Source organism: Homo sapiens, chromosome 19 (genome assembly GCF_000001405.40).
Source record: "Homo sapiens chromosome 19, GRCh38.p14 Primary Assembly".
Classification (NCBI taxonomy): domain Eukaryota; kingdom Metazoa; phylum Chordata; class Mammalia; order Primates; family Hominidae; genus Homo; species Homo sapiens.
In genome coordinates this window covers 34,644,030-34,662,669 of record NC_000019.10, presented here as the reverse complement: position 1 = coordinate 34,662,669, position 18,640 = coordinate 34,644,030, and the positions used below count along the sequence as shown (strand labels likewise).

At 40.7% G+C, this 18,640-nt stretch overlaps 1 protein-coding gene and 3 pseudogenes across 24 annotated transcripts in view; 3 read left to right on the top strand and 1 right to left on the bottom strand.

Annotated features, from left to right (window-relative positions):
- ZNF807P (zinc finger protein 807, pseudogene) overlaps positions 1 to 18,640 on the top strand; it is a 135,468-nt pseudogene that overhangs the window by 14,490 nt on the left and 102,338 nt on the right. The window lies entirely within an intron of this gene.
- SCGB1B2P (secretoglobin family 1B member 2, pseudogene) overlaps positions 1 to 18,640 on the top strand; it is a 100,431-nt pseudogene that overhangs the window by 14,490 nt on the left and 67,301 nt on the right. The gene's annotated exons all lie outside the window — the stretch shown is intronic.
- SCGB2B2 (secretoglobin family 2B member 2) overlaps positions 1 to 18,640 on the top strand; it is a 91,631-nt gene that overhangs the window by 14,490 nt on the left and 58,501 nt on the right. The window lies entirely within an intron of this gene.
- On the bottom strand, positions 16,618 to 16,797 carry SCGB2B3P (secretoglobin family 2B member 3, pseudogene; annotated as a pseudogene). The gene has a single exon (NR_045208.1). The product of NR_045208.1 is annotated as a secretoglobin family 2B member 3, pseudogene (transcript).

Below are 18,640 nucleotides of genomic sequence, written 5' to 3'. Positions count from 1 at the left end.
AGCCCTTGTTTGGTTATTTGTGGGAAATGTGTTCCCCAACACTGTGGATCAGCTTTGTATTTTCCTTATGGTTTTTAATGAGCAGAAGTTTAAAGTTTAATATAATTAAATTTATCAATGTTATACTTTATGCTTCATGTTGTGTGTGTGTGTGTGTGTGTGTGTTGTTTAAAAAACATTTTTATCTCTTTATTGTTATTTTTAATATGGTTTTATTCCTTTGGAAAAAAGATTCTCATGTCATGGTCATAAAGATATTCTTCTACATAAAGATTTGTAAAGTCTTTATTGTTTTGGATTGCCCATTGAGGTCTCTAAAGTACATGGAATGGACTTTTACGTGAAGTGTGGGTAAGAACTCCCTTTCTTTTTAATTATATAGATTCCCTGCTGTCCCAGTTTAGGACAGGGTTGTGTAATCTTTTGGCTTCCACGGGCCACACTGAAAGAAGAAGAATTGTTTTGGGTCACACATAAAATACACTAACATGGCCCGGCGCGGTGGCTCACACCTGTAATCCCAGCACTTTGGGAGGCCAAGGCAGGTGGATTACGAGATCAAGAGATTAAGACCATTCTGGCCAACATGGTGAAAGCTCCTCTCCACTAAAAATACAAAAAAATTAGCTTGGAGTGGTGGCACACACATGTAGTCCTAGCTACTTGGGAGGCTGAGGCAGGAGAATTGCTTGAACCTGGGAGGCAGAGGTTACGATGAGCCGAGATCAGGCCACTGCACTCCAGCCTGGTGACAGAGCAAGACTCCATCTCAAAAAAATTAAATTAAATTAAAAAAAAATACACTAACACTAACAATAGCTAATGAGCTAAAAAAAAAAATCACAGAAAAACTCATAATGTTTTTAAAAAGTTTACAAATTTGTGTTGGGCCACATTCAAAGCTGTCCTGGGCTGCATGGGGCCTGCAGGCCGCAGGTTGGACAAGCTTGGTTTAAGAGAAGATGGCCCTTATTCCATTATTCTCAGTGTCCCTTTTGTCAACAACCAAGTGCCCCATAGAGGGACATAGTTTGCTTCTGGGTTCCCTATTTCATGTCGCTGGTCTCTTTGTCTGTCTCTATGCCAGTGTGGCACTGCGTTGAGTACACACTAAAGCTTTACTTAGTTCTTGACTCTGGCAGAGGGAGTCCTTCTACTTTGGCCTTGTTCCTAGAATGTCTTTGCTGGTTTTGGCCCTCTACAGTGCCAGATGTTTAGAAACAGCTTTTTGAATTCAATTTGGAGAGAACTGAAATTTTGATAATATTGAATATTCCTCTCCATAACACTGGTACATGTTGCCATTTATTTTGGTCTCCCTTATTTTATCACAATAATTTTTTACATATGTATTTCTTTTTTTTAATGTCATTGCACGTTTATTTATTTATTTTTTTATTATACTTTGAGTTCTAGGGTACATGTGCATAACATGCAGGTTTGTTACATAGGTATACATGTGCCATGTTGGTTTACTGCACCCATCAACTCATCGCCTACATTAAGTATTTCTCCTAATGGTATCCCTACCCCAGCCCCCCACCCCCGACAGGCCCCGACATGTGATATTCCCTGCCCTGTGTCCATGTGTTCTCATTGTTCAACTCCCACCTATGAGTGAGAATATGTGGTGTTTGGCTTTCTGTCCTTGTGATAATTTGCTGAGAATGATGGTTTCCAGCTTCATCCATGTCCCTGCAAAGGACATGCACTCATCCATTCTTATGGCTGCATAGTATTCCATGGTGTATATGTGCCACATTTTCTTAATCCATTCTATCATTGATGGACATTTGGGTTGGTTCCAAGTCTTTGCTATTGTGAATAGTGCTGCAATAAACATATGTGTACATGTGTCTTTATAGTAGAGTGATTTATAATTCTTTGGGTATATACCCAGTAAAGGGATCGCTGGGTCAAATGGTATTTCTAGTTCTAGATCCTTGAGGAATCGCCACACTGTCTTCCACAATGGTTGAACTAATTTACTCTTCAACCAACAATGTAAAAGCATTCCTATTTCTCCACATCCTCTCCAACATCTGTTGTTTCCTGATTTTTAATGATCGCCATTCTAACTGGTATCTCACTGTGGTTTTGATTTGCATTTCTCTGATGACCAGTGATGATGAGCATTTTTTCATATATCTGTTGGCTGCATAAATGTCTTCTTTTGAGAAGTGTCTGGTCATATCCTTTGCCCACTTTTTGATGGGGTTGTTTGCTTTTTTCTTGTAAATTTGTTTAAGTTCTTTGTAGATTCTGGATATTAGCCCTTTGTCAGATGGGTAGATTACGAAAATTTTCTCCAATTCTGTAGGTTGCTTGTTCACTCTGATGATAGTTTCTTTTGCTGTGCAGAAGCTCTTTAGTTCAATTAGATCCCATTTGTCTATTTTGGCTTTTGTTGCCATTGCTTTTGGTGTTTCAGTCATAAAGTCTTTGCCCATGCCTAGGTCCTGAATGGTATTGCCTAGGTTTTCTTCTAGGGTTTTTATGGTGTTAGGTCTTACATTTAAGTCTTTAATCCATCTTGAGTTAATTTTTGTATAAGGTGTAAGGAAGGGATCCAGTTTGAGCTTTCTACATATGGCTAGCCAGTTTTCCCAGCACCATTTATTAAATAGGGAATCCTTTCCCTGTTGCTTGTTTTTGTCAGGTTTGTCAAAGATCAGATGGTTGTAGACATGTGGTGTTATTTCTGAGGGCTCTGTTCTGTTCCATTGGTCTATATATCTGTTTTGCTACCAGTACCATGCTATTTTGGTTACTGTAGCATTGTAGTATAAAGTCAGGTAGCATGATGCCTCCATCTTTGTTCTTTTTATTTAGGATTTTCCTGGCTATGCAGGCTCTTTTTTTGTTCCATATGAACTTTAAAGTAGTTTTTTCCAATTCTGTGAAGAAAGTCATTGGTAGTTTGATGGGGATAGCATTGAATCTATAAATTACCTTGGGCAGTATGGCCATTTTCACGATATTGATTCTTCCTACCCATGAGCATGGAATGTTCTTCCATTTGTTTGTGTCCTCTTTTATTTCACTGAGCAGTGCTTTGTAGTTCTCCTTGAAGACATCCTTCACATCCCTTGTAAGTTGGATTCCTAGGTATTTTATTCTCTTTGTAGTAATTGTGAATGGGAGCTCACTCATGATTTGGCTCTCCGTTTGTCTATTATTGGTGTATAGGAATGCTTGTGATTTTTGCACACTGATTTTGTATCCTGAGACTTTGCTGAAGTTGCTTATCAGCTTAAGGAGATTTTGGCTGAAACGATGAGGTTTTCTAAATATAAAATCATGTCATCTGCAAACAGGGACAATTTGACTCCTCTTTTCCTAATTGAATACCCTTTCTTTCTTTCTCTTGCCTTATTGCCCTGGCCAGAACTTCCAACACTGTGTTGAATAGGAGTGGTGAGAGAGGGCATCCTTCTCTTGTGCTGGTTTTCAAAGGGAATGCTTCCAGTTTTTGCCCATTCAGTATGATACTGGCTGTGGGTTTATCATAAGTAGCTCTTATCATTTTGAGATACGTCCCATCAATACCTAGTTTATTGAGAGTTTTTAGGATGAAAGGCTGATGAATTTCATCGAAGGCCTTTTCTGCATCCATTGAGATAATCATGTGGTTTTTGTCATTGGTTCTGTTTATGTGATGGATTACGTTTATTGATTTGTGTATGTTGAACCAGCCTTGCATCCCAGGGATGAAGCCAACTTGATCATGGTGGATAAGCTTTTTTGATGTGCTGCTGGATTCGGTTTGCCAGTATTTTATTGAGGATTTTCGCATGGATGTTCATCAGGGATATTGGCCTAAAATTCTCTCTCTTTTTTTTTTTTTTTTTTTTTTGTTGTTGTTGTTGTTGTTGTTGTGTCTCTGCCAGGCTTTGGTATCAGGATGATGCTGGCCTCATAAACTGAGTTAGGGAGGATTCCCTCTTTTTCTGTTGATTGGAATAGTTTCAGAAGGAATGGTACCAGCTCCTCTTTGTACCTCTGGTAGAATTCGGCTGTGAATCCATCTGATCCTGGACTTTTTTTGGTTGGCAGACTATTAATTATTGCCTCAATTTCAGAACCTGTTATTGGTCTATTCAGAGATTCAACTTCTTCCTGGTTTAGTCTTGGGAGAGCGTATGTGTCCAGGAATTTATCCATTTCTTCTAGATTTACTAGTTTATTTGTGTAGAGGTGTTTATAGTGTTCTCTGATGGTAGTTTATATTTCTGTGGGATCAGTGGTGATATCCCCTTTATCATTTTTTTATTGCATCTATTTGATTCTTCTCTCTTTTCTTGTTTATTAGTCTTGCTAGCAGTCTATCTATTTTGTTGATCTTGTCAAAAAACCAGCTCCTGGATTCATTGATTTTTTTTGAAGGGTTTTTTTGTATCTCTATCTCCTTCAGTTCTGCTCTGATCTTAGTTATTTCTTGCATTCTGCTAGTCTTTGAATTTGTTTGCTCTTGAATCTCTCGTTCTTTTAATTGTGATGTTAGGGTGTCGATTTTAGATCTCTCCTCCTTTCTCTTGTGGGCATTTAGTGCTATAAATTTCCCTCTACACACTGCTTTAAATGTGTCCCAGAGATTCTGGTATGTTGTCTCTTTGTTCTCATTGGTTTCAAAGAAGATCTTTATTTTTGCCTTAATTTTGTTATTTACCCAGTAGTCATTCAGTAGCAGGTTGTTCAGTTTCCATGTATTTGTGCAGTTTTGAGTGAGTTTCTTAATCCTGAGTTCTAATTTGATTGCACTTTGGTCTGAGAGACAGTTTGTTGTGATTTCTGTTCTTTTACCTTTGCTGAGGAGTGTTTTGCTTCCAATTATGTGGTCAATTTTAGAATAAGTGCGATGTGGTGCTGAGAAGAATGTATATTCTGTTGATTTGGAGTGTAGATTTCTGTAGATGTCTATTAGGTCCGCTTGGTGCAGAGCTGAGTTCAAGTCCTGGATATCCTTGTTAATCTTCTCTCCATTGATCTAATACTGACAGTGGGGTGTTAAAGTCTCCCATTATTATGGTGTGGGAGTCTAAGTCTCTTTGTAGGTCTCTAAGGACTTGCTTTATGAGTCTGGGTGCTCCTGCATTGGGTGCATATATATTTAGGATAGTTAGCTCTTCTTGTTGAATTGATCCCTTTACCATTATGTAGTGGCCTTCTTTGTCTCTTTTGATCTTTGTTGGTTTAAAGTGTGTTTTATCAGAGACTAGGATTGCAACCCCTGCTTTTTTTTGCTTTCCATTTGCTTGGTAGATCTTCCTCCATCCCTTTATTTTGAGCCTATGTGCATCTTTTCACATGAGATGGGTCTCCTGAATACAGCACACTGATGGGTCTTGACTCTTTATCCAATTTGCCAGTCTATGTTTTAATTGGAGCATTTAGCCCATTTACATTTAAGGTTAATGTTGGTAATACATATGTATTTCTATGGTGCTCTTATACATGTATTAATTGATTTATTCCAAGGTATCTGTTCTTTTTAATGCCACTGTAAATATTGCATTCTCTTAAAGTGTCAGTTTATAAATGTTCGTGCTGCCATATAGAAAAGTATAATTATTCTATATTGTTTCGTATTCAGCATTCAAAAACTCTTTAATATATTCTCTGTAGATGCTCTAAGATTATTTATATAAATATATCTAATGCATATTTGCTTTTTCCTCCTCAATCTTCATATATTTTACTTGTCTTGCTTTATTCCACTTGTAGAATCTCTAGTACAATGTTAGATAGCAATGGTGAAAGTAGGCATTTTTGTTTAGTATCTGAACTCAAGATGAATTTCTTTTTTGCTTGTTTCTTTCTTTTGCTCTTGATAGCATTTTATCTTACATAAATTGTTAAATTTCACATAATTTTAGGCTTATAAGAAAGTTATACAACATTTTAAAAGTATTTCTGGTTACCCTTCGTTCAGATTCTAAAGGATAGCTTTTGATATTTCACCATTACATAAGAAGTTTAACATCAGATTTTTTTCGTAGGTGGTCTTCATTAGATTAAGATATATTATGCTACTTCTATTTTCTAAGAGAATTTTTAAATTTTCTTTGAGACAAGGTTGTGCTTTGTTACCTGGGCTGAAGTGCAGTGGTGCAGTCATGGCTCACTGCAGCCTCATCCTCCTGGGCTTAAGCGATCCTCCCACCTCAGCCTCCCGAGTAGCTGGGATTTTAGGTGGGTGCCACCACATCTGGCTAATTTTTGTAATTTTTGTAGAGACAACATTTTGCCATATTGCCCAACATGGTCTTGAACTCCTGGCTCAAGTGATCTGCCCACCTCGGCCTCCCAGCGTGCTGGAACTATAGGCATGAGCCACTGCACCCTCTGTAAAGGAATTTTTTAAATCAAGAAAAGATGAATTTTATAACATATCTCACTTGCATTTAATGAAATATGCATACAGTTTTTTCCCTTAGGCTCTGAATGTGTTAAATTACATCAAATAATTTTGTAATTTGAAACCTACCGTGCGTTGCTGGTGTAAATCCTCCTTAATCAGCATATAGTTTTCTTTATATGTAATTTCATTCACTTTGCCAATATCTTGCATAGAACATTTTGTCTATGTCCTTGAGTGGTTGGATTTTGGTGTCAACATGATACCAGCTCATTATGAATTGGGGGATGTAGAGGTGATGTATATTTATTCCAACAGGGTTAGTCTTCATTCCATAGCCTGCTTTGTACCCCAGGACCTGATCTTTTCTGGATTGCATTGTTGGGCAATGTTGCCCTTTGGTTTTTTTCAGGGCTACAGTTTGGCAGTGGCTGCATTCCTCCTGTGACCTTGGCCTCTCCTGCAGTTACATGTCTTACTGGATTGTAGAAATGGCTCCTTTTCCTTGCCTCTCGTTAGATATGTTGCTCTTGCTTGCCTTGGGTTTCTCACTTTTCTTATTGGTTTCCCTTAACTTTGCTCACAGCACAGCCATAAGCCTGTGAACCAGAAGGTATCTGAGAGAGGTCTCAATCAACTTAGAAAATATTTTTCGAAGGCTAAGGATCTGCCCATGACATAGATTCAGGAGGTCCTGATGACATGTGCCCAAGGTGGTCAGAGTACAGCTTGCTCTTACACACTTTAGGGAGACATAATACATCAATCAGTGCGTGTAAGATTTACATTGGTTCCATCTGGAAGGGCAAGAGGACAACTTGAAGTGGGGTTGGGGGGGCATCCAGGTCTTAGGTAGTTTTAAAATTTTTCTGATTGGCAATTGGTTCAAAGAGTTATTGTCAATAAAAAGGAATGCCTGGGTTGTGGTAAGGGTTTGTGGAGACCAAGGTTTTATCCTGCAGATTAAGCCTCCAGGTAGCAGGCTTCAGAACGAATAGATTTGTAAATGTTTCTTATCAGACTTAAGGTCTGTGTTGATGTTAAACCTTGGTCAGCTTTTCCTGAATTCCAAAAGGGAATTGGGTATAATGAGGCAGGTCTGACTCCTCCTTCCATCTTCACCTGAACTAGTTTTTCAGGTTAACTTTGGAATGCCATTGGCCAAGAGGAGGGGTCCATTCAGATGGTTGGGGGCCTTAGAATTTTATTTTTTGTTTACAGCCATTCATTAAACTCTTGTCCTATGTCCTGCATGAGTGTGCCATTTCCTTCCTGCAGGGACACTGATTGGTACAGAGAATGTACCCTCATTGTTTATTCTTTGGAAGAATTTACATAAGATTGGAGTGGTGTAAGTGCCCGAAGGATTCTTCCTGCCTGCTGCACAAACAAATCAATTCAGGGAGACCGTGGCATTGCAGAGGGTTTAATTGATGGGAGGCTGGCCATGCCATGGGGGAAACAGAGTTAACATCAAAGTGATCTCATTGAAGGCCCAGAGGCTAGGGGTTTTTCAAAGACTCTTGGTGGGCTGGGGGCTAGGGTATGTGGAGTGCTGATTTCTTGGATTGGAGATGAATTCATAGAGAGTTGAAGCTGTCTTTTTGCATGCAGTTCCTTCTGGGTGGGGCCACAGGAACAGCTGGTGAATCTAGGTGGAGCCATTGGTGTTAGACATACAAAAAAACCTGAAAAGACTTCTCAAAAGGCCAATCTCAGGTTCTAAAATAGTGATGGTATCTGCAGAAGTAACTGGAGAAGTTGCATATCTGTGTGACTGCCAGAATAATTGCTGGCAATTATTTAATATGTTTGTTAAATTTAATTTTTTGTTTTAATAGCTTTATTAACATATAATTGACCTGTAACAAGTATGTTTATCTAAAGTGTATAATTTGTAACTTTTGTTTGTACTTTGGCCAAATTAAGGCTCCTCTATCCTAGCCTGATGGTCTCTCATTAGCTTTACATAAACAGTTGAGTTTTGGGGAAGTTGAGCTTTAAATAGTATCATTTAAAGTATTAACTAAATGTTTCTTTTTGATGTTTCTCTCTTCATTAACCTATTAAGTTGATTCTAATTTTATTTTAAAATCTTGTATATGTTTATTAAATTAATTTTTTTGTTTTAATAGCTTTATTGAAATATATTTTACATATAACAAGTATGTTTGTCTAAAGTATATAATTTGTAACTTTTGACACTTGTAAAAATCAGAACAACTACCATAATAATCAAAATAATGAACACATCTCACAACCAACATCATGTGATCTTCTAAGAGATAAAGTTTTACTTCTTTTTTTTCTGATTTAGATGGCTTTTTTTTTCTTGCCTCGTTGCTCTGGGTGGGACTTCCAGTACCATGTTAAATACGAGTGGTACGAGTAGGCATCCTCATCTTGTTCCTGATCTTAGAGGAAATGATTTCAATTTCTCTTTATTGATTATGATGTTAGCAGTGGGTTTTTATATATTACCATATTTGTGTTGAGGTAAGTTCCTTCAGTATCTATTTTGGTGATGGTTTCAGTATGAATGGATATTGAATATTATCAAGTGCTTTCTCTGCATCTTTTAAGGTGATCCTGTGGTTTTTATTCTTTATTTTGTTAATGTGGAATGTCATATTGATTCATTGGCATGTGTTGAACTATTCTTTTATTTCAGGGATAAAGTCTACTTGGTCATATTGTATAATTCTGTTAATGTGTGTTGAACTTGGTTTTCTACTATGTTATTGAAGATTTAATTGTGGATATTAGACTGTAGCTTTTTTTCTTTTCTTCTTTTGCTTTTATTATTATTTTAAATGGATGCAGTAATAATTGTATATATTTATGGGTTACAGTGGTATTTCAATACATGCATACAATGTGTAATGACCAAAGCAGGGTGATTAGCATATACACCTCCTCAAACATTGATCATTACTTCGTATTGGGAACATGCAGTATCTGCTCTTCTAGGTATTTGAAAATATACAATAAATTGTATATTACACTCACCCTACAATCCTATAGAACACTAGAAGTTAGTCTTCCTATCTAGCTGCACTTTTGTATCCATCCATCAACTTTTGGCTATAGTCCCACCTCCCCCAACTACTTCCTGCCTCAAGTAACCATTATTCTACACTCTTCTTCTATGAGAGCAGCTTTTTTACTTCCACATGTGAGTGAGAACACATAGGATTCATCCTTCTGTACCTGGCTTCTTTTGCTTAAAACAATGACTCCAAGCTCATCCATGTTGCTGCAAATGACAGCATTTTATTCTTTTTCATAGCTAAATCCTATTTCATTGTGTATGTATACCACATTTTTTTTCATCTGTTCACGTGTTCATGGACACTTAAGTCGATTCCATGTTTTGTCCATTGTGAACAGTGCTGCAATAAACATGAGAGTGCAGATATCTCTTTGATATACTGATTTCCTTTTGCCTGGATGTGTACCCAGTAATGGGATTCTTGATCATATGGTAAATCTATTTTTAGTTTTTGAGGAACCCTCATACTGTTTTTCATAATAACTGTTCTAATTTACATTCCCACCAACAGCACACCAGAGTTCCCTCTTCTTTGCTTCCTCACCAGCGTTTGGTATCTTTTGTCTTTTTCATAGTAGCCATTCTAACTGGGGTGAGGTGATATCTGAATGTGGTTTTGATTGGCATTTTCCTGATGATGAGTGATGTTGAGCATTTTAAAAATACCTGTTGGTGTCTATGGCCATACCACCCTGAACGTGCCAGATCTCATCTAAAAATACCTGTTGGCCATATGTATGTGTCATCTTATGAGAGATGTTTATTCAGCTAATTTATCCATTTTTACATCAGATTACTTGTAGTTTTTCTTCTTGACATTGAATTGTTTGAGTTTCTTGTGTATTCTGGATCTTAATCCCTTGTTGAATGAATAGTTTACAATTTTTTTGGCCATTCTGCAAGTTGTCTCTTCTCTGCAAGTTGTCTCTTCTCTCTGTTGATTGTTTCATTTGCTGTGCAATAGCTTTTTAGTTTAATATAATCCAGTTATCCTATTTTTGCTTTTGTTGCCTGTGCTTTTGGGTTCTTCACTATACACTCTTTGCCCAGATCAGTATTGTAGTATTTCCCCTATGTTTTCTTCAAGCAGTTTCATAGTTTCAGCTTTTAAGTCTGTAAACTATTTCGAGTTGATTTTATCAATATAATGAGAGATAGGGGTCTAGTTTCATTTTTTTTGGCATACGGATATCCAGTTTTTCAGGCACCATTGACTGAAGAGACTGTCCATTCACCAGTAAATGTTCTTGGTGCCTTTGTTGAAAATCACTTGGTTGTAAACAGCTGGATGTGTTTCTGAGTTATCTATTTAGTTTCACTGGTCTATGTGTCTGTTTTTATGCAAGTACCATGCTGTTTTGTTTACTATAGCTTTGTAGTCTATTTTGAAGTCAAGTTATGCCATGCTTTCAGCTTTGTTTTGTTTGCTCAGGATTGCTTTGGCCACTCAGAGTCTTTTGTAGTTTCATATAAATTTTAGGATTATTTTTTCTATTTCTGTGAAGATATCATTGATATTTTGATAGGAATTTCATTGAATCTGCAGATCACTTTTGGTAACATGGTCATTTTCACAATAGTGATCCTTCTAATTATGAACATGGGATATGTTTTCATTTTTTGGTGTCTTCTTCAATTGATTTCCTCAGTATTTTATAGTTGTTTTGGTAGAGGTCTTCTACCTTCTTTGTTAAATTTATTCTGAAGCATTTCTTTTTTTAATAGCTATTTCATATAAGATTGCTTTCTCGATTTCTTTTCTAATTTGTTGTTGATGTCCAGGAATGGTACTGCTTTTAATACGTTGATTTTGTATCCTTCATCTTTAATGAATTCGTTGATCAGTTCTAAGAGTTTTTTTGGTGGTGCTTTAGGGGTTTTCTTTCTAAGAGATTTTTGGTGGTGCTTTAGGGGTTTTCTGTACATAAGATCGTGTCCTCTGCAAGCAGAGACAATTTGACATCCTTCTTTCCAGTCTGGATGCCCTTTATTTCTTCTTGCCTAATCACTCTGGCTAGGACTTCCAGTACTATATTGAATAAAAGTGGTGAAAGTGGACATTCTTGCCTTGTTCCAGATCTCAGAGGAAGAGCTTTGTACTTCTCCCTATTCACTATGATGTTGGCTGTGGGTTTGCCATACATTGATTTACTGTGTTGGGCTACATTCCTTCTATACACAGTTTGTTAAGAGTTTTTACCATTAAGGACTATTGAATTTTATCATGCTTTTTCCACACCTAATGAGATGATCATATGCTTCTTGTACTCATTCTGTTGGTGTAGTGTGTTGCTTTTATTGATTTGTGTATCTGGAAACATTCTTGCATCCCTGGGTTGAATCCCACTTGGTCATGGGGAATGATTACTTTAATGTACTGCTGAATTTGGTTGGCTAGTATTTTGTGGAGAATGTTTGCATCTGTGTTTATCATGGATATTGGCCTATAGTTTTCTGTTGTTGTGTGTGCTTCTCTGGTTTTGGTATCAGGATAATGTTGGTCTTGTAAAATGAATTTGGAAGAATTCCGTACTCTTCAATTTTCAGGAAGAGTTTAGGAAGAATTGCTGTTATTTCTTCCTAAACGTTTGGTTGAGTTCTGCAATGAAGCCATTGGAATCTAGACTTTTCTGTGATAGGAGATATTTTATTACAGATTTAATTTCTGACTTGTAATTGGTCTGTTCAGGAGTTTGATTTCTTTTCGGCTCAATCCCGGTAGGTTATATTTTTCCAGGAATTTATACATTTTTGCTAGGTGTTCTAATTTGTTGTCATATTGTTCATAACAGCCTCTACTGTTATGAGGAAAAATCTAACCATGGAAAATCAACCCTGGATGAAGCCCAATTCCGCAGTGATGTGGCTGCCACCCACACCACAGGTCCACATACTGGTATGAGTCAGGCTCAGCCAGGTGAGCAGGAGGTTTGGCCAAGGGGCACCAGGAAATCCTCATCTTTGCCGTTGGCTCGGCTGGAAGATCCCCAATCTCCATAGGTTTCTTGGGATTAAAGCAGAAAGGTAAATGTCAGGCCTGGTGAGTTTCCAGGTCTCCGGTATGCTCAGCCCCAGCAGCTGAACCACCCCACAAGGGTCAGACGCTCCACCTCTTGCTCCAGTCCCTCTCTCGCTAGATTTTCTGTCCTCTGACCTCAACCAGTGTGACTCAGTGTCTAGTGAAGTCATGCAGAGCCCATGCTGGAGACACATAGGGCATTTACGCCCCGGTTATTGCCCTCAGGACACTTAGGGGATGACTTAGGAGTGGAGGAAGAGGAAATGGTGGGGCTGAGGGTTCACCCTTGACTTGAAGAAGAAGAACAGATGGTCAGGCATTGGAATCACCCTAGCAGAGATCAGAGACAAAAAGAAACTTGACAGATTGGGGCACAACAGAGTGGAAAGCTGGGGTGCACAGGAAGAGGGCAGTGGGATCAGGTCCCAAGGGCATCAGGCTGGGTCTGCCTGTTCAGCTCCTAGGTTCAAGTGATTCTCCTGCTTCAGCCTCCCGAGTAGCGGAGGTTACAAGCACCTGCCACCACACCCAGCTAAAATTTTTTTGGTATTTTTAGTGGAGACGGGGTTTCACCATGTTGGTCAGGCTGGTCTCGAACTCCTGACCTCAAATGATTCACCCATCTCTGCCTCCCAAAGTGCTGGGATTACAAGCATAAGCAACCACACCTGGCCGGTTTATTGATTTTTAAACTCCAAATAGTTATTGCAAAAAGTTTTTTTTTCTTTTAAGTAAATTCACACAAAAAAAGAGAAATCGAAAGTGATGGTGGTGACCAGCAAGAGGAATAATAATTACACATTACACTCATCTTTATGTGTGTGTGTCAGTTCTGTTCAGGTTAACACTGAAACTCCAAACCCAGAACCCAGAGCCTCAAATCTGTGAGTGGAATGTCTTGAGATGGGCACGTGGAAGTCAAAGGATTTCTCTCTTTTTTCCTTCCCTTTTTGAAGTTATACATAAAAACTGTTTACCTTCTGTACTGTTCCGGAACTTTTACATACAGTGTCAGTCCTAGTTGTGAAAGATCCAGGCTGGGCACAGTGGCTCACGTCTGTAATCCCAGCACTTTGGGAGGCCGAGGTGGGCGGATCACGAGGTCAGGAGTTCAAGACCAGCCTGGCCAACATGGTGAAACCCTGTCTCTACTAAAGAAAGATACAAAAAATCAGCTGGGTGTGGTGGCACATGCCTGTAATCCCAGCTACTTGGGAGGCTGAGGCAGGAGAATCGCTTGAACCCGGGAGCCGGAGGTTGCAGTGAGTTGAGATCGCACCACTGCACTCCAGCCTGGGCGACAAAGCAAGACTCCGTCTCAAAATAAATAAATAAATAAATAAAATAAATCATAAAATAAAAAAGAACAATCCAAAGAGAAACTGAATTTGCAGTCCAACACAAAGAGGGGAATTTCTAAAATAAATAATGCAACATGTTCTTTTTGCATTTAAAAAATTCATTTTAATAACCAAAAAAGTATGAAGTTTAAAAATATTAAAGAGTAATATATTAAAACTGTGGAAAAAAGGAAAAAGACACATCACAAAATTTTAACGTTAATACAAAGATCATAATTTAACATAATATATTCTGTGGATTTGCCATCTAGATAAATATGAACAAAATTAATTTAAAAAGCATAGCTTGGCAATAAATATGTTTTGATTAAAGGACATTGTAATTTTAAGAAATTATTCAATTTCATGACAACTTACAGATTATGGGTAGACTCATGGTAACCAGACAAATATTCTCTAACATTTTCCTTATTCTTTCAAACACATGTGAAATGCTTTTGCATCCTCAGAGAACTTACATCAACAGCTTCTTTGTCCAAAATTTCTCAGGACATTTTTAACTGTTTTCATTAACTTATAGTTGAAACTCGTGGCCTTTGATCGTTAAAAGCTGAATGTTATGTGTGTCTGAATTAAATAACATGAGATTTATTCTTGTCTTTATCTCCATGGATTTAAATTCCACCTACATGTTGAAAGCATATATTTTTGTCTCCAGGCCTGAGTCTCCCATGAGCTCCAAACTAGCGTGTCTCACAGTTTCTGTGTCTCATCCTCCTGGATGGCTAATGGATATCTTGATTGGAAACTTATCCAGGCCAGTGTGGGATTCCGGATCTTTGCCCTAAACCTGCTTCTCCCCAGGCTTCACCTCTCAGGAGTGGCATCGCATCCACCCAGCTGCTCCAGCCCAACGTGACCCCCTTCCCCACTGCCCCTTGTTCCAGGTACACTGGCCATTTCTCCGACACACTAAACCCTTTCTCATCATGCTGCATTCTCTGCCCCAGACCTTCACCTGGTGGCTGCCTCAGGTTATTCAGGACTCGGGAGATGTCTCCTCACGTGCCTTCTGGGACCACCTGACCCAATGTGGCACCCCAAGCCAGTCCCACCCGATCACATTTCCCTGTTGGGTGGTCCTTGTGGTTCTCATCACTATTACAATTTTCTTCAGCTTTACAACCCCCTCTTCACCTTGGATGTGAACTTCAGGGAAGCAGCGCCCTCATCTGCCTTGTTCTTCATGGGGTGTCCGGCTCTGGGAAAAGGCCTGACCTGTGGCAGGAGACACTCCTTCCCTGGCTGAGTGCATGGGTGATGACTGGGGCAGACAGTGTGTTAAGTGAAGGCAATTCTGGGGACAAAGGCGAGAAGACGTGGCCTGAGATGGGGGCCAGAAATGTCTGACCCGGGAGGAAATGACAGCTGAGAGGTAACAAAAAGAATGAGTGGAGAGGAGAAAGGATATTTGGGGCAGTGAGAGTCTGGGAGGGAGACAGAGGAGTTTAGGGCAGTGTGGGCTGATGGGCACAGGTGGCCATTGCCCAGGAGATCCAAGGAGCCTGCAGAAAGGGCCTGAGGTTTGGGGAGGGACCTTCCCCAGAGGGAGTTGGTGGAGCCTTGTCAATGCATTGAAGGCCACTGAGACCTCCAGCGAGGACGAAATCAACTGAAGGGTGAGGTGGGACAGAGGCACCATGCCTGAGAGTGGTGCTCGTTCCCTGTGACCTCAGTGTCCCCTGTCATGGTCACATGGCCACAGAGACCCCCATGGCTTCATGCAGATTGCCTGGTCCCAACAGCCCGAGGAGCAGAGCTGAGCTGCAGGTATTTATGGGGACGCTGAGGCCTGTGACTCAGCCAGGAGGGCAAGGTTTCCCAGCCTCCAGCATCTGGAGTCCTGGGGGGTTGGGTCAAGGCGGGGTGGGGTTGTGCTGGGGGTAGAGAGAAGGAGGACTTGGGTAGGAGGAGATGGAGGATTGTGTTAGGGTTGATTTCCTGGGCTCAGAAAACACACATGTGTACACATTCCTGTTGAGTTCTTCCTCAGTCACGTAATTTCGCAGGCAGACCCTGGTCACACACTGCATATGTGGTCACAGCCAACCCCACAGAGACGCCAGAATACAGAGCTGAGCTGCAGGTGTTTACTGGGGATTGTTTGTTGATGGATAGAGTCAGGCCAGGAGTGTGGGGAGCCCTGAGGAAGGGAGGGCCAGGTGGGTTGCAGGGGTCCTCAGATCAGAAGGAAGTATCTACACATCTTTGCAGTCATCGCTGACAACGATCCTAGACTGTTGGGAAAGAAATAAAGTGGGGACCTGGGAGCCTCTGTGAAAGCATCCCCAGACCCATCATTAACACCCAGTCCCAGAGGTCAGAGGAGCTCCTTAAGGTCTGTCCATTTCTTGGGGATCCCAGGCTCTGGACAAACACAGTGAGTGTGGGTTGTGACTCCTGCTTGAGTGTGACTCTGCATGTGTTGGTGTAACACACGTGTATGCATGTGCCTGTGCAGGCATGGAGTGTGTGTGTTGCTGTTAACAGCATCCTGTGTGAGTGTGTGTTGCTGTGTGCTCATCATCAGTGCATTGATGTAGTGATTGTGGTTCCCTGTGTCCCTGGGCCTCTCCCGGGCACCAGGGGCAGAGGTTCTCCCCTTGCAGGGTTGCAGTGTCTGGGTTCAGGGCTGAAAAAGGTGAGGCAGGAGGCCCTGTTGAGGCCTGTGGGCACCTTCATCTGATCATGAGCATCCTGGGATGTGGCTTCCTGCTCAGGATATGGCAAGCAGGAAGGGAAGGTAAGTGCAGGGCATAAGGCCTGGGACTTGTGGCTGTGCAGCATGTGCAGGTTCCCCAGGGCACACTTACCATATTCCAACAACAGCAAGGCTTTCTGGGAATGAAACAGAGGCAAAGCATTGCTAGAACTTGAGGAAGGACTCCTCTGTCAGGGGGCTGGGGTTGTATTGAGCAAGCTCCCGCTTCAGGTCCTCTGGGTATGCAAAAGCAACTCTCCCAAACAACTTATAGAAATCCAGGCAGGCATCCCCTGTGGTGGATGAGGCAAGATAAGAAAGCAGCAGAGGTCAGAATTCACTGAAACCTCCCCTGGCAAATGTCTGCAATAGTGACAGCTGAGACCCTGGGATGGCAATGACGGTGAAGGAGCAGGGCCACCTGTTTCCTCTCAGCCCTGCCCGCTTCTTTCTCACCCAGCTGGACGCTGCAGATTAGAGCCAGCAGAAGAGCACAGGCGGTGGGTGTCATCCTCATGACAGTGGAGTCTGGTCCCAGCAGGCAGAGGCAGGGACTTGGCCATGGATGAGCTTTATGTGTATCTGGACAACTGACACACACCTTCGTGTGTGTGTGTGTGTGTGTGTGTGTGTGTGTCTGTGTCTGTGTGTGTCTGTGTGTGTCTGTGTGTCTGTGTATGCACATAAGTGGGGTCAGGGCAGGTCTGCAGAGAGACCCAGGGCCCTTGGCTATGCTGTTGGGCTGGCAGCATATCAGGAACTCAGCTCAGCCTGCAGTGGGAGGGGTTGGGTGTTGGCGTGACAGTCTCTGTCCTCCCTGGAGTGTCCTGGGATTGGGAACGGGCTGAGCACTGTGGTGTGAGCGCGCAGGTCTGTGTGTGCATGTGTGCCCAGGAGCCCCTGGGGCATGACCCTGTGTCTTGGCAAATGTATCTGCACCTGGCATCCCCTAGATCAGAATCTGCCACCGAGTCCAGGCTCAACAAACATTTGCTAAGTGAGTTTGTCTGAATGTTTGCCTGTGCGTTTATTGTCCCTTCACGAAGATATTTCTGGGTAGACATCTGGGTTCGTGTGTGTGTTTCTCCCTGTGTCTGTGTTCATGAGCGACACCTGGGCGTGCAGTGGAAGGAGCACAGGCTCTGGACTGCACACTTGGGTGAGGCACTTTCAGCTCTGAAGACACAGAAACTCAGCTTGCTCATCTGTGAAACTGACAGCAATTCCCACCTCCCAAGCTCGTTGTGCTTCAGTTTATATAAAGCCCCTCACACAGGTTCTGCAAAGTGGGCACTCAGTTAATAGTACTTATTACATATGAGCCTTTCATAAAATATTGTGTTAATTATAAATGTTTCTACTTGCATCAAATTATGTGAGTCCATGGAAATGTCCTAAGTGTCCGTCAGCACATAAATGAATACATGTGATATATTAATATAATTTGGCGAAAAAGATGAACTTTTTCTATATGTGTGACATGGCTGACACTTAAGAAATAAAACGAAGTGAAATAAGCCAGACGCAAAAGGACAAATGTGGTATGGTTTCACTTATATGAGTTACCCAGAATAAGCAACTAACTCTATAAAACAAAAGTAGAAGAGAGGTTACAAGGGGGCAGGGCAGAGCCTGGGGAGTTATTTCTTGATGGGTACAGAATTTTTGTTTGAAATGATGAAAAAGTTTTGGACATCGATAGTGGTGATGGTGGCACAACATTGAGAATTTACTTAATGCCACTGAACTTTACACTTAAAGTTAAAATGATTTAACTTCATGCTATGTATATTTTACCAGAGTAAAAAAAAAAAAACAAAAAAAAAAACAAAAAAACAAGGCTGGGGCTGGGCAAGGTGGCACTCACCAGTAATCCCAGTGCTTTGGGAGGCTGAGGCAGGAGGATCTCTTGAGGCCAAAAGTTTGAGACCATCTTGGGCAACATAGTGAGACCCTGCCTCTACAAACAAAATTTTTATTTTAGGCACTATCTGTTGACTTTCCAATATTGCAGATGAAGTGGAAGATTTAGTTATCTGTCTGCTCGTATGCCACGTTACCCATCATCCCAATAGAGTTCTGCAAAACTTTGGTTGTTGATATAATCACAAATCATAAATCACAAATCACAAATCTTCTGTTGTTGATA